General features: G+C 40.5%; 5 gene segments (V, D, J or C) and 1 further gene; 1 reads left to right on the plus strand and 5 right to left on the minus strand.

Moving 5' to 3' along the window:
- Positions 1–12,932, plus strand: part of IGK (immunoglobulin kappa locus) — a 1,378,008-nt gene that overhangs the window by 3,169 nt on the left and 1,361,907 nt on the right.
- Positions 39–76, minus strand: IGKJ5 (immunoglobulin kappa joining 5). The segment is given in 1 exon segment: positions 39–76. A coding segment is annotated over 1 exon segment (38 nt), but the record flags the coding sequence as incomplete, so codon positions are not given.
- IGKJ4 (immunoglobulin kappa joining 4) lies at positions 357–394 on the minus strand. The segment is given in 1 exon segment: positions 357–394. A coding segment is annotated over 1 exon segment (38 nt), but the record flags the coding sequence as incomplete, so codon positions are not given.
- On the minus strand, positions 692–729 carry IGKJ3 (immunoglobulin kappa joining 3). The segment is given in 1 exon segment: positions 692–729. A coding segment is annotated over 1 exon segment (38 nt), but the record flags the coding sequence as incomplete, so codon positions are not given.
- IGKJ2 (immunoglobulin kappa joining 2) lies at positions 996–1,034 on the minus strand. The segment is given in 1 exon segment: positions 996–1,034. A coding segment is annotated over 1 exon segment (39 nt), but the record flags the coding sequence as incomplete, so codon positions are not given.
- On the minus strand, positions 1,357–1,394 carry IGKJ1 (immunoglobulin kappa joining 1). The segment is given in 1 exon segment: positions 1,357–1,394. A coding segment is annotated over 1 exon segment (38 nt), but the record flags the coding sequence as incomplete, so codon positions are not given.

Here is a 12,932-nt window from a genome sequence, read left to right on the forward strand (position 1 = left end):
ACCCAAATTTCAGAAGACAATAGTGAAAAATTACTTACGTTTAATCTCCAGTCGTGTCCCTTGGCCGAAGGTGATCCACAGTGTTAACTTAATTACTTTCCCCTTAACAAAAATCTCTTTTCGCTGTTAATATCACTAACCTGACCGATGCAGAGAAAATCTTGCAATTGAGATGCCTCACTTAACTGGCTAGCGCTTGGCTGTTCCTTAAGATGAACTAATTTTCTATCCCTTACTCATCTGACTTTTTGAAAGAATCTGGTACTCTTTGGAATTGACCTGAGCTAATATCTCAAACACAAAAACGCTCCAAATTTAAAACCTTATAAGAAAAAGCATTAGGAAAGTGCACTTACGTTTGATCTCCACCTTGGTCCCTCCGCCGAAAGTGAGCCACAGTGAGGGATCTCACCCTTTCCCCTCAACAAAAACCTCTCTTGAAGCCAATCATATGAGATAGGCTGCTTGTTCAGAGAAAAATCTAGCTATTTCTTCCCCATTTCCCCCATGAATCCTATTCTCCTCTCAAACCCAATGATTCGTCTATTTGCTCAGCTTTTTAAGTTCATTTTCTGGTGTCCTGCTATTTACTTCTGGGTCACCAGGTTTATTCAACCAAAATATCACAAAACTTGCACAAATGATACAATGGCACTAAAATCTCACGAATAATTGAGACAGATGTACTTACGTTTGATATCCACTTTGGTCCCAGGGCCGAAAGTGAATCACAGTGATTCGTCTTAACTTTTCCCTTTACAAAAACCTCCCTGAAAGCTCAGCAAGCCTCTTTCCCCCAATGAAGTTATTTTGATTTAGAAATCTTAAAAATTAGCCACAAGCTAGCGTCCTGTGGAACAATTTCCCCTCCTCTGTACCTAACCTGGGAATGAAGTTTGTTAGATCCCTGGCATCCGACTAATGAAAATCCACACAAAGGAACACAAAGTAAACTAATTAGCAACAGTGAAGAATCAGTGGAAAAAAGTACTTACGTTTGATCTCCAGCTTGGTCCCCTGGCCAAAACTGCACACACAATGGTTCCTCTTAACTTCCCTCCTATACAAAAACTCCCTTTCTGACAATTGACCAAGGCTCTGTCCAGAACATGTTATGTTCCCCAGGACATTTCTGAAGCTATTACTTAGACAAGTTATTCTCACCCAATGACTGAATCTTGCTTGCTCTTCAAAGAAAATGTGCAATCAATTCTCGAGTTTGACTACAGACTTATCTTTATCTTTTCCCTGAAGGATATCAGAGGCTGATTGCAGAGTCACCTTATAGATCACTTCATAGACACAGGGAACAGAAGACACAGACAACTGAGGAAGCAAAGTTTAAATTCTACTCACGTTTGATTTCCACCTTGGTCCCTTGGCCGAACGTCCACCACAGTGAGAGCTCTCCATTGTCTTGCTGAACAAAAACCCTTCTCACCAAAGGGGAACAGAGTCCTGGGTCAGCTGCTGAAGCTCAACTCCCTTTTCGAGCAGGTGTGGAAGCCCTGAGGCTTCTCTGACATAGCATGTGTTTATTTTCTTAGGTGAGACCTAAAATCCAAGAAGAGAATATATTTACGTCTATGGCCTGATGGTTCCTTTCTTTAGCAACTTGCCACATCTGGACTGCTTATTATTTATTTATTTTTTAGAAAGTAGACTGAATGTTAATTACAAAGAAAAACAAGCAATTAAAAAAAATGGCCAGTTTTTTTGTACTTTCTTTTGGGGTGGGCTGGGGGGGCTTTTGCAAAGGATAAACTTCATTTAGTGTAATTATGGAAATCATCAGCTTCTCAATGAGTAATAATTACAGGTTGTCTTACTATTTTATCTTCTCCTTTGCTGCAATGTTATTTAAAAAAAGGTAGACTAAATATATATCAACTTAAGGCTCATAACTTTGAAATGCATTTTGAAATGTAGCTCCAGATGGTATACGAAACCAAAGTGAAGACTAATAGAGTAGAAAAGTAGACTTTACTTGGTTGGTTTGTCTGTTTTCACAGCACAGGAAGAGCTCAGCTCTTACTGAGCTGGACCAGGCGCATGCCATCTTTGGAGCTGCCATGGAGTCCCAGTGTTCCATAGTGTTTCCATAGTAATCTCATCAACAACACTGAAGACCTTTTCAGTATTTTCTTTTGAGTCCAGCTCCATTTTTGCAGCCTTGTATCTCTCTTAACCTTCCATCTCCACCCCTTCCATACATTACTCCCACCTCCCTACACTCCTTAGAGTTTTTCTATGGCCTCCAGCTTTCACAAGCACTCCCTCTGCTTGGGAACATCTTTGTCCACCTGGGTTAGCTTGTGAACTGCTAATTGTCTTTCAAAATTCAACTGAAGAGAGACCTTCTCTCAGATTAGCCCTGAGCAGGTGACCTGAATTTACAGAGTACAGAGACAGGTCACTGGGCCTAGAGTACCTAATTATTTTTTATTTTATTTATTTATTTTTTTTGAGACGGAGTCTCGCTCTGTCGCCCAGGCTGGAGTGCAGTGGTGCGATCTTGGCTCACTGCAAGCTCCGCCTCCCGGGTTCACACCATTCTCCTGCCTCAGCCTCCCGACTAGCTGGGACTAAAGGCGCCCGCCACCACGCCTCGCTAATTTTTTGTATTTTTAGTAGAGACGGGGTTTCACCGTGTTAGCCAGGATGGTCTCGATCTCCTGACCTCGTGATCCGCCCACCTCGGCCTCCCAAAGTGCTGGGATTACAGGCGTGAGCCACCGCGCCCAGCCGAGTGCCTGTTTATTTTTACCTGCTTTCAGATTCTCTTCTACCCTTCTAAATTATAAGCTGTTTGATGTTTTATTTGCCCTGTATTTGGGAGGCTCCGTCCAGTATCTTTACTTAGCAAATGCTTAACAAACATTTTCAGAATAAATAAAAAAAAATACCTAATTGAAAGTCAATAATAGATCAGAGATGCTATCATAGACCAAAGACTAATACTGACTGCCACAACAGTAACTTTTACAACAGAAATCATAACTACAATTCTAAAGATTAGGGGTAGGTTTATTTGATTCTGTCACTGGCAGCTTTGCTAGTTGCCTTGAATAGCAGAATTAGCATTTGGTCTCACCAGAAGATGAGGAAGGAGAGGGATCAAGTTAGAGGTGGAGAGTTAACATTGGCAAGTGAAATTTAATGTGCAAAATAGCTGACCAAGGGCATAGTCCTTTTTTAAAGGGGACACAAAGTGATTTTCTCTGCAGACATACACGCAATACCAATCATAAAGGGTGACATTTATTGAGCACTTACTAAGTGCCAGACATTGTACATGGATCATCACATTTAATTATTCCCAAGACTCTATGAACTAGGAACTAATATTATCCCCTACTTTGTAGGTGCAAAAACTTGAGGGCAGAGAGGTCAAGGAACTGGCTTATGGCAGTAAGTGGCAGAGCTGTGACCTAAACTCAGATCCCATGTTTTTAACTGAACTATATGCAGATTATACTCCAGGAGTAAAGTCACTCAACGGAAGCAACAAGCGTGACAGGGAATGCTGGGATGGGGGAAGGTAAAAGGAACTCCTTAGACTGGGATAAGTGTGTACAGACGTATGTATAAGACTACACATGGAAATATTGTTTAAAGAGTGAAAAATAACTAAAATCCTCATTAATAGGAGTTTGGTTAAACTGTGCTAGAGCTTTACAATGTAGCACAAAGCAGACATTAAGGGGAAGACGTAGACTTCTATATAGTTACGTGGAAGGTGTTTGTGAAAATGCAGGTCACTGAAGAGTATGTGTGGTGAGATATCATGATCCCATCTACATTGAATATATATGTATATAAATACGGGCTGAATTTTAAAAGACATAAATTGTGCTTGGTAGTTATCTCCTGGGATTGCAGAGGAGGAACAATGACACTTTATGCCATCTCCTCCTACTCTTCTGTATGGTGATGTGAATATATTCATTTTATAGTTTTTAGAAATAATAAAACTGTACTAATTTTGAAAAACAGTAAACTCTGACATTGCCTATTAGCATTCTCGATATTCCTGTGCAATGCATAAACATAACTTTTTAAAAGATATGTACACACATGTGTGAGTTTTCTTTGTCAAATACTTTTCTATAATCTTTAAATCAAGCATGCCAAAAAGGTAAAAGCTTTCCTGTTTCAGTGTAGGAGATAGTCGTCTGCAAAGGAAAGAGATGTAGGGGATAGAAACAGGAATGAAAAAGATGACTGAGCTGTTCGAGGGACTTATGTTCCTAAGTGAGCTAATTGGAAATCTAATATGAACAGTGCAACCGAATAACTATTGTAAAGCAGTATTTGTAAACAATAAAAGATGATTATCATAAGTACCATTGTTGCAAAAACTATTTTATTGATCACATGCAGTGGTGATCTGTAGGAATGATTGTTGTGATGTTTGCTGTAACATAAAATGAAACATGGGAAGTGGCTGAGATCTTTAGGATGTGTGTGGTTCATTTTTTGAAAGCAAATGTTGTCTCAGAAGCATCTGTGAGACTCTGCCAGGATCCACCGTTCTACAAAATATCTGTGATGGACATTGATAAGATTGATCTGTTGAGGAAAGGCAAGGTGTCAGTAAGATAGTCTGAGAGCTTCTTGGATTTCATGTAAAAGAGTGCTGGAAATAGAATTTCTTGGGGAACATTCCAACTAACTCATCACTGAAGGTGCTTTACATTGAACCCTCAGCAAAGTTAGATTATCAGAAAAAAAATATAAACTGCTGTGGAGGGGACAGGAAGGAAAGTCAGGGAGGGAGGGGGGCAAGGAGAGAAAGAGCGAGAGAGAGGAGAGAAAGAGAGAGAGAGAGGAGAGAGAGAGCACAAGTACACACTTCAATGCACATCTATAAATCATCCTGAAAACTACTGATAAATTATTTTAGCAATGTTCCTCAGATGTAACATTTCAAGAAATATCATTTTTGCTTTTTATTTGGCATAATTTACTAGCCAATTTAGGAAGTTCCCCTCACATCAGTAACATACAGTACATCACCCAGTATGTCAGAGGACACAATGGCATAAGTTTGCCTTTTGCAAGGTTTGAGGGATGGCCATTTCCCTACCTGACTCAGGAAAGTCTGTAGCTGATATCCATCTTCAAGTTTGTGGTTCTTTCTCTCTATATATATATTTGAGCTCAGCAGTCATGCTGGAGTCCAGAGTAGGTGATTCTTTCTGCTTTAGCTTGACTCCTCCTTAAGATTGTAACTCTCTCAGTTTTACATTTTTTGTCAGACGTAAGCTGACATTCCACAAGGAGAGGAGGAAATTCTGTGGTTCACATCCAGTGGTGCTTGGAACCTGATTGGTTGTCATTCTTCCAGCTAGTTTGTCACGAGTGGATATCTGTCCTGGATTCCCAAGGATCAAGGCTGCCCCATTAGCCAGGAAGTAGGGAGATAGAGGAGGTCACTTGAGAAAGAGCTGCTTCTTTGCCGCCTCCAGGTTGTGTCTGTTTCCTCTCATATCTGAAGACAGATGTGCTGGCAGAAGCAAAGTCCTTTGTCCGGCCACGTGCAAATGCATGGGACATAAATATGAACAGAGATTCTTGTCCCACTCTAGAAAATGTAGATGTTCATCTTGTTTCCAAGGGGACAGTAAGGCTGCAGGTGTTTTTTGACTTCCTTGAGAGAAAGAGAAGATAGCAGCAATTGTATCAGGGCTTACTATCCTAGGAGGGGTTCAGCCACCGAGATTTACATATTCAGTGCTGTGGTTTTTGTTTCATTTTGCAAGAGGAACGAGCCCCTCAAGCTCTGTCTTAGAGTTCCCTGCCCTCCCTGTCTACCTACTTGGCACCCAGCCCCTATGTTCTCTTCTCGTATTAAGGCATAGAAATCATGGGCAACTACTGTTCAGGCTGGCTCTGGATGAAGTTGTGAAATCGATGAGTTGGGGCTTAGTTTTGCAGACCCCCAAATGCCCTGATAATCCTGGCTCGAAGGGGTGTCCAGCCCCTCCACACCTGTGGGTATTTCTCGTCAGGTGGGACGAGAGACTGAGAAAAGAAATAAGACACAGAGACAAAGTATAGAGAAGGAACAGTGGGCCCAAGGGACCGTCACTCAGCATACGGAGGACCCGCGCTGGCACCGGTCTCTGAGTTCCCTCAGTATTTATTGATTACTATTTTCACTACCTCAGCAAGGGGAATGCGGCAGGAGAACAGGGTGATAGTAGGGAGAAGGTCAGCAAGAAAACATGTGAGCAAAGGAATCTGTGTCACAAGTAAATTCAAGGGAAGGTACTATGCCTGGATGTGCACGTAGGCCAGATTTATGCTTCTCTCACCCAAACATCTCAGTGTAGTAAAGAACAACAGAGCAGCATTGCCGCCAGCATATCTCGCCTCCAGCCACAGAGCGGTTTTCTCCTATCTCAGAATAGAACGAATGTACAATCAGGTTTTACACTGAGACATGCCGTTCCCAGGGGCATGCAGGAGACAGAGGGCTTCCTCTTATCTCAACCGCAAGAGGCCTTCCTCTTTTACTAATCCTCCTCAGCGCAGACCCTTCACGGGTGTCAGGCTGGGGGACGGTCAGATCTTTCCCATCCCGCAAGGCCATATCTCAGGCTGTCTCAGTGGGGAGAAACCTTGGACAATACCCAGTTTTCCTGGGCAGAGGTCCCTGCGGCTTTCCGCAGTGCACTGTGCCCCTAGTTAATCGAGAATGGAGAATGGCGATGACTTTTACCAAGCATACTGCCTGTAAACATGTTGTTAACAAGGCACATTCTGCACAGCCCTAGATCCCTTAAATCTTGATTCCATACAACACATGTTTCTGTGAGCACAAGGTTGGGGCTAAAGTTACAGATTAACAGCATCTCAAGGCAAAACAATTGTTCAGGATACAGATCAAAATGGAGTTTCTTATGTCTTCCTTTTCTACATAGACAAAGTAACAGTCTGATCTCTCTTTTCCCTATCCTGGCTGAGGCTAGAGCTCCAAGTCTAAGAAGGAGGATAGGAGGCGGACAGGCCAATGGAAACAATGAATGAACAACAGATGGAAACAAGGAATAGTGTGGATTTTTGAGTTCATTAGCGCGTCCTCCACTCTTTCAAAACCTCCTTTGCAATGACAGAAGAAATATAAAAATGATAATGAATTTATTTCGTGGTTGGAGAATCATGAGAGGTCCTATTAGAAGAAAAAACTTTGAAGAACACCACAGAGATTTAAACCATGTCATTGAATTCATAGAGAAACTGGAATTTAGAAACATTTTTTCCATTGCAAAAACAGGAGGTGTCCTTGAAGCAGCCAGTTCTAGTTTTCCCCACAGAGCCCCAGAAAAGCCGTACTTCAGAGCTATCGGGCTGGGAATGGTGATAGGTGGACAGTGGAGAGTGGAATAACACCTGGGTCATCTCTCTGCTGGTTACAGACAGCTTGGCCCTCATGCTTCAGGCCGTGGGAATAGAGATTGAAAGAAAAAGGGGGCAAGTTAATAGGCATTCAATAGTAATGGGATTTAAAAAACCCTCCCAAACCACTAGAAGGAAAAGAAATAGACAAAAATAATAAACCAATCCAGCAAAGTTTAGGAAAAGTGAATAAAAAATTGAGGTAAGCACGATACATAAAAGTACAAATTAAGTTTGAAGGACCAAGTCAAAATATACAGTCACAAACTATTGTGAATGTTAAATTATTTAAAACTTTAAATAATTTATCTAAAAATAAAAATAAACCAAAAAGATGACTATGTATGTTTTCAAGGATATTTGATTCACTAGAGAAACAGTTCATTTGCTTCCTATTTATGATGATTAAAAACTAGATTGCAAAAGTTAGATGTTAATGTAAAGAAAACTTTATGAAAATGATAATGGATTTTTATCTAGTAGAAAAGATAACCCCAATGCTTATGGTTTTATTGCTCTGTAGGACATTAACAAGTTGTGCATCTTATTTAGCAAACTTATTCTAACATTAGTAGATGTGAGTGTGTGTGTGTGCGTGTGTGTGTGTGTACGTATACATATAGGTGTGTGCAGGTATGTGTATATGTATGTATGTAGGTATATATGTATATACTAGCAAATGATAAAGTTGGTTCAAAGGACGATGTACAGTAGTACCTCCTTATCCACAATTTTGCTTTCTGGGGTTTCAGTTACCTGTAGGCAACTGTAGTCTGAAAATATTAAAAAGAAATTTCTAGAAATAAGAATTTACTCATTTTAAATTGTGTGCCTTAGTAGCGTGATGACATATCATGCCCTTCCGCTCCATACCAGCCTGGGACTGAATCATCCCTTTGTCCAGCGTCTCCATGCTGTCTACACTTACCCTCCTGTTTAGATGCTTAGTAGCCCTCTTGGTCATCAGATTGACTGTCATGATATCCTAGTGTTTGTGCTCAAGTAACTCTTATTTTACTGAATTGTTCTATTTTATTACTAGTTATTGTTGTTAACCTCTTACTGTGACTAATTAATGCATTTTATCATAGGTAAGTGTGTATAGGAAAAAACATAGCATATGTAGGGTTGTGCAATAGCATCCACTGGGGGGAGAATTTTGCTGAAGTTAGAACAGAGAAGACTGTCCAGAAGAAAGAATTTTCTATACTTGCCACCTTTTTTCTGTTTGGTGTCCTCATGTAAGTCTCAGTGTTACGATCTGTCTCCCCACCTCAATCACTGCCCTCTGTCTCTGGAAGGAAATTCCCCTTGGGCTGAGGCCAGCATGGTGCCAGACAGGAGAGATCCAGTACCCACTCTGGAAAATTTCATAAGATAACTGGTTCTCCACCTTCTTCAGGGACCTTTTATCATATCTCATGTGCCCATGGCATTTGTCACTGCCATCTGCACAACACTGAACTCCAGCAACATCAACTGAGAAGAAAGAGAGAGAGAGGGAGAAAGAGAAAGAGAGAGAGAGAAAAGTCGTTTGTTGATTGAGCCACACAAAATTTTTTTTCTAATTAAATTATATATCCAGGTAGCTGCAATATGCTACAATCCCAAATACACATATTTATTAAATATGATTCAAAGAGCATTCATTGAGTACTCTGTATCAAGGCACAATGTAAAATAAGTGCAAAATTACTGGTGATTGTTACGCCTTTCTGTGGGACTCGACTCTCTCTGGTTGGAGGTACTGTGTGGGAGCACGTGAGCTCCAATCAGGTGGTCTGGAGGGAGCAAAATGCAGCTGTTGGAGGTTAAATATGAAGGGAAATAGCAGTAGGCATCGGATAGCATAGAATGAAAATAAAAGTGCATATACTTCCAGTGCCTGTTTTACAGATTCCTTGTCTTTTTTTTTTTTTTTGAAGACGGAGTCTCCCTCTGTCGCCCAGGCTGGAGTGCAATGCTGTGATCTTGGCTCACTGCAACCTCCGCCTTCTGGGTTCAAGCGATTCTCCTGCCTCAGCCTGCTGAGTAGCTGAGATTACAGGTGCGCACCATCACGCCCGGCTAATTTTTGTATTTTTAGTAGAGGCGGTGTTTCACTATGTTGGTAAGGCTGGTCTCGAGCTCCTGACCTCGTGATCCACCTGCCTCAGCCTCCCAAAGTGCTGGGATTACAGGCATGAGCCAGTGCGCCTGGCCTCCTTGTTTTTTAAAACTAGTTCAAACCCTCAACTCATAATTTGGGAAATTCAGGTCATAGGATGCCCTGTTATTTATAAGGTATCCAGCAATGCATGGAACAGAATATTTAACTTTTAAAAAACTTATATTAGGTTGTTGCAAAAGTAATTGCTGTCATTTTCTCCTTTCTTTTTCTTTTTCTTTCTTTCTTTCTTTTTCTTTCTTTCTCTTTCTTCTTTTCTTTCTTTTTCTTTCTTTCTCTTTCTTTCCTTTCTTTCTTTTCTTTCTCTTTCTTTTCTTTCCTTTTTCTTTCTTGTCTTTCTCTTTCTTTCTCTTTCTTTTTCTTTCTTTCTCTTTCTTTCCTTTCTTTCTTTTCTTTCTTTCTCTTTCTTTCCTCTTTCTTTTCTTTCCCCTTTCTTTCTTTCTTTCTTTCTTGTCTTTCTTTCTTTCTTCTTTCTTTCTTTTTTTCTTTCCTTCTTCTTTCCTTCCTTTCCTTTCCTTCCTTCCTCCCTCTCTCCCTCCCTTCCTTCCTTTTCCTTCCTTCCTTCCCTTCCATTCCCTTCCCTTCCCCTTCCTTCCTTCCCTCCCTCCCTCCCTTCCTTCCTTCTCTCTCTCTTTCTTTCTTTCTTCCTTTCTTTCTTTCTCTTTCCTTTCTTCTTTCGTTGTTGTGTTCCAGAACGATTTAGTGTTACCTACAGTTCCCAGAGAAAGAATCCTGTCTTGAGGGGTGGCTGGGGCAGGGCTACTACTCTCCCTGCTCTGTGCTCTAGTGGCCAGGTGGATCAGCTCCAGCTGCCAGGCCAAATTTCCTAGGGAATGGAATTCTGTCTTTTTAACAAGAACAAAATAGGTGCTTAGTAAATATAAGATGCCTTCAGCTTTTAGTATATGCATAATCATAAATATAAATTTGTTTAAAACCTGAACTATTCTGATGTTCTCACTGGCTAGCCAAACTTAAAATGTGTATTTGGACTTGAATTTCCCACCAAGGGTGTTACTAGCTTCTTTACTGTTGCAGCTGCCTTTTGTTTTGTTTTTGAAAGTTTAAAAAAATACACAAGGGGGCTTTTGCTTCCTGAAAGATGGAGTAGAATTACTTTTACCTATTTCTCTCAAGTAAAGTAAAAACCCCGGACATTGTACGTAAAGCAAACTTATGAAGACTCTGGAAGCTGGAGAGAAGAAGGCAGACCAGTTAGGAACATTGGGACCCAAGGAGCGACCCAGCAGTGCATTCCACGGGGTTTCTTTTTGCCTCATCCATTCCAGACTTGGTTCTGGAGAAGTTTGTCAACCCAGAAACACCAACAGGCCCAGAAAAACATAAAGCCCTAATAAAAAGCTGGCTCTCTCTAGTCAAAGGAGAAAGAAAGGGGAAGCCCAGTAAAACAATTCTTAGGCAGTAACGGCTCTGCTCCATTCAAACACCCAACTTCTCCTTCCTGAGTGGCAAGAGAGGAAATTCGCTGAGATGAGTTTAAATGAGATCCAAAGCCTCATAACACAATACTCCAAAGTCCAGATTTCAAATGAAAACCACACATCCCAACAGGAACCAGGGGAACCAGGAAAATCTCAGCTTTGATGAGACAGTTAAGAGGCGCTAATACTGACATGACAGAGACGTTAGAATTACCTGACAAGAATGTTAAAGCTGCCATCGTAAGAACACATCAAACTCAACACCACCATCAATGAGTAAGATCATAAATCAACATTTCTGGAAAACTCCAACCAGCACCAGCAGAATTCGCATTCTTTTCAAGTGCTCATGGAACATATACCAAAATTGCCATATACTGGGCCATGTAACAAACCTCAACAAATTTAATAGAACTGAAATCACATGAAGTGTGTTCTCTGACCACCTGGAATCAAACTGGAAATCGATAATAGAAAAATAATGGGAAAAATGCCAAACCCTTGGAAACAAAACAACACACTTCTAAACAATCCATGGGAGATTTCAAGGAAAATAAAAGATTATATATTGAATAGAATAAAACTGAAGATGTAACATATTATAATATCAAGGATACAGTAAAAGCCCAAAGAAATGAAAACTTATCCCAGAAAAATGAAAACTTAGCACAAAAACGTATACAATACACAACTATTCATAGTGGTTTTATTTGTATTAAAAAAAAACTGGAATCAGTCAAAATGTCCTACAATAGATTAATGGTAAAACAAACTGCGGTACATCCATCCCATGGAATAATTAGTAATAAAAAGTAGTGAGTTGGGCACGGTGGTTCATACCTACAATCCATACCTACATACCTACAGCACTTTGTGAAGTAGAGGTGGGAGAATCGCTTGACCTAGGAGTTTGAGACCAGCGTAGGCAACATAGTGAGACCATGTCTCTAAAAAAAATTTAAAAAAATTAGCTGTGTGTTGTGTCCCATGCCTGTAGTCCTAGCTACTTGGGAGGCTGAGGCAGGAGGAAGCTTGAGCCCAGGAGTTCGAGGCTGCTAGAGAGAGTTATGATCTCGCCACTGCACTCCACCCTGTGTGACAGAGTGAGACTCTGTCTCTAAAAAAAATTAAAAAAAAAATAGTGAGCTGTTGATACACATGACTTGAATGGATCTGAGGGGCATTATGCTGAGTATAAAGGTCACATATTGCATGATTCCATTTACATAACGTTTTTGTCTTTTCAAAAATATTGCAAGGGGTACTTGGTTGCAGGGTGTGCGCATTTTTCAATTTACAAATTGGCCTCAAATTCGTGTATTAAGTTTCATTCCCACATTTGCAATGATAAGTCCTCCATGGAGTTTCCTCACTCTACATCCTCTCCAATACTTGATATTATCAGGCTTTTTAATTTTTTTCCACTCAAATGGTCAATACGTTGTATTTTATTTTTGGTTTAAAATACATATTTGTGTTTTCTGATCACTCATGAGGTTGACCATTTAAAAATGTTTATTGGCTATTGGGGTCTCATCTGTTGTGAATTGCCTGTTTTTAAGGTATGCCCACTTTTTTATTGAGTTTCTTATTTTTTTCACTATTGCATAGGAGTTTTCAATCTTTCTTCCCTCCTCTTATTCTTTAATAACAGAATCCCAATTTTTTTACAGGGCAACAGTGTCCCAGCCAAAAATCTAATTCCTCAGCTTCTTTGCAGTTAGGACTGTTGAGACATCATCTGAAATCTATTGTGCATTTCTGGAAAAATTTTGCTTGATGGACAGAGGCACCACTGCTTATTTCTCCTTTGTGTTCTATCTTCTTCTATCTGGAACTTGGCAGAAGCACCCATCTTGCAGGATGAAAGTCACAAGCTAGAGTGGAGGAGCAGGCAGGGAAAGGACCTGGGTCCTGCA

The sequence above is a fragment of the Homo sapiens genome, chromosome 2 (assembly GCF_000001405.40).
Source record: "Homo sapiens chromosome 2, GRCh38.p14 Primary Assembly".
NCBI lineage: Eukaryota > Metazoa > Chordata > Mammalia > Primates > Hominidae > Homo > Homo sapiens.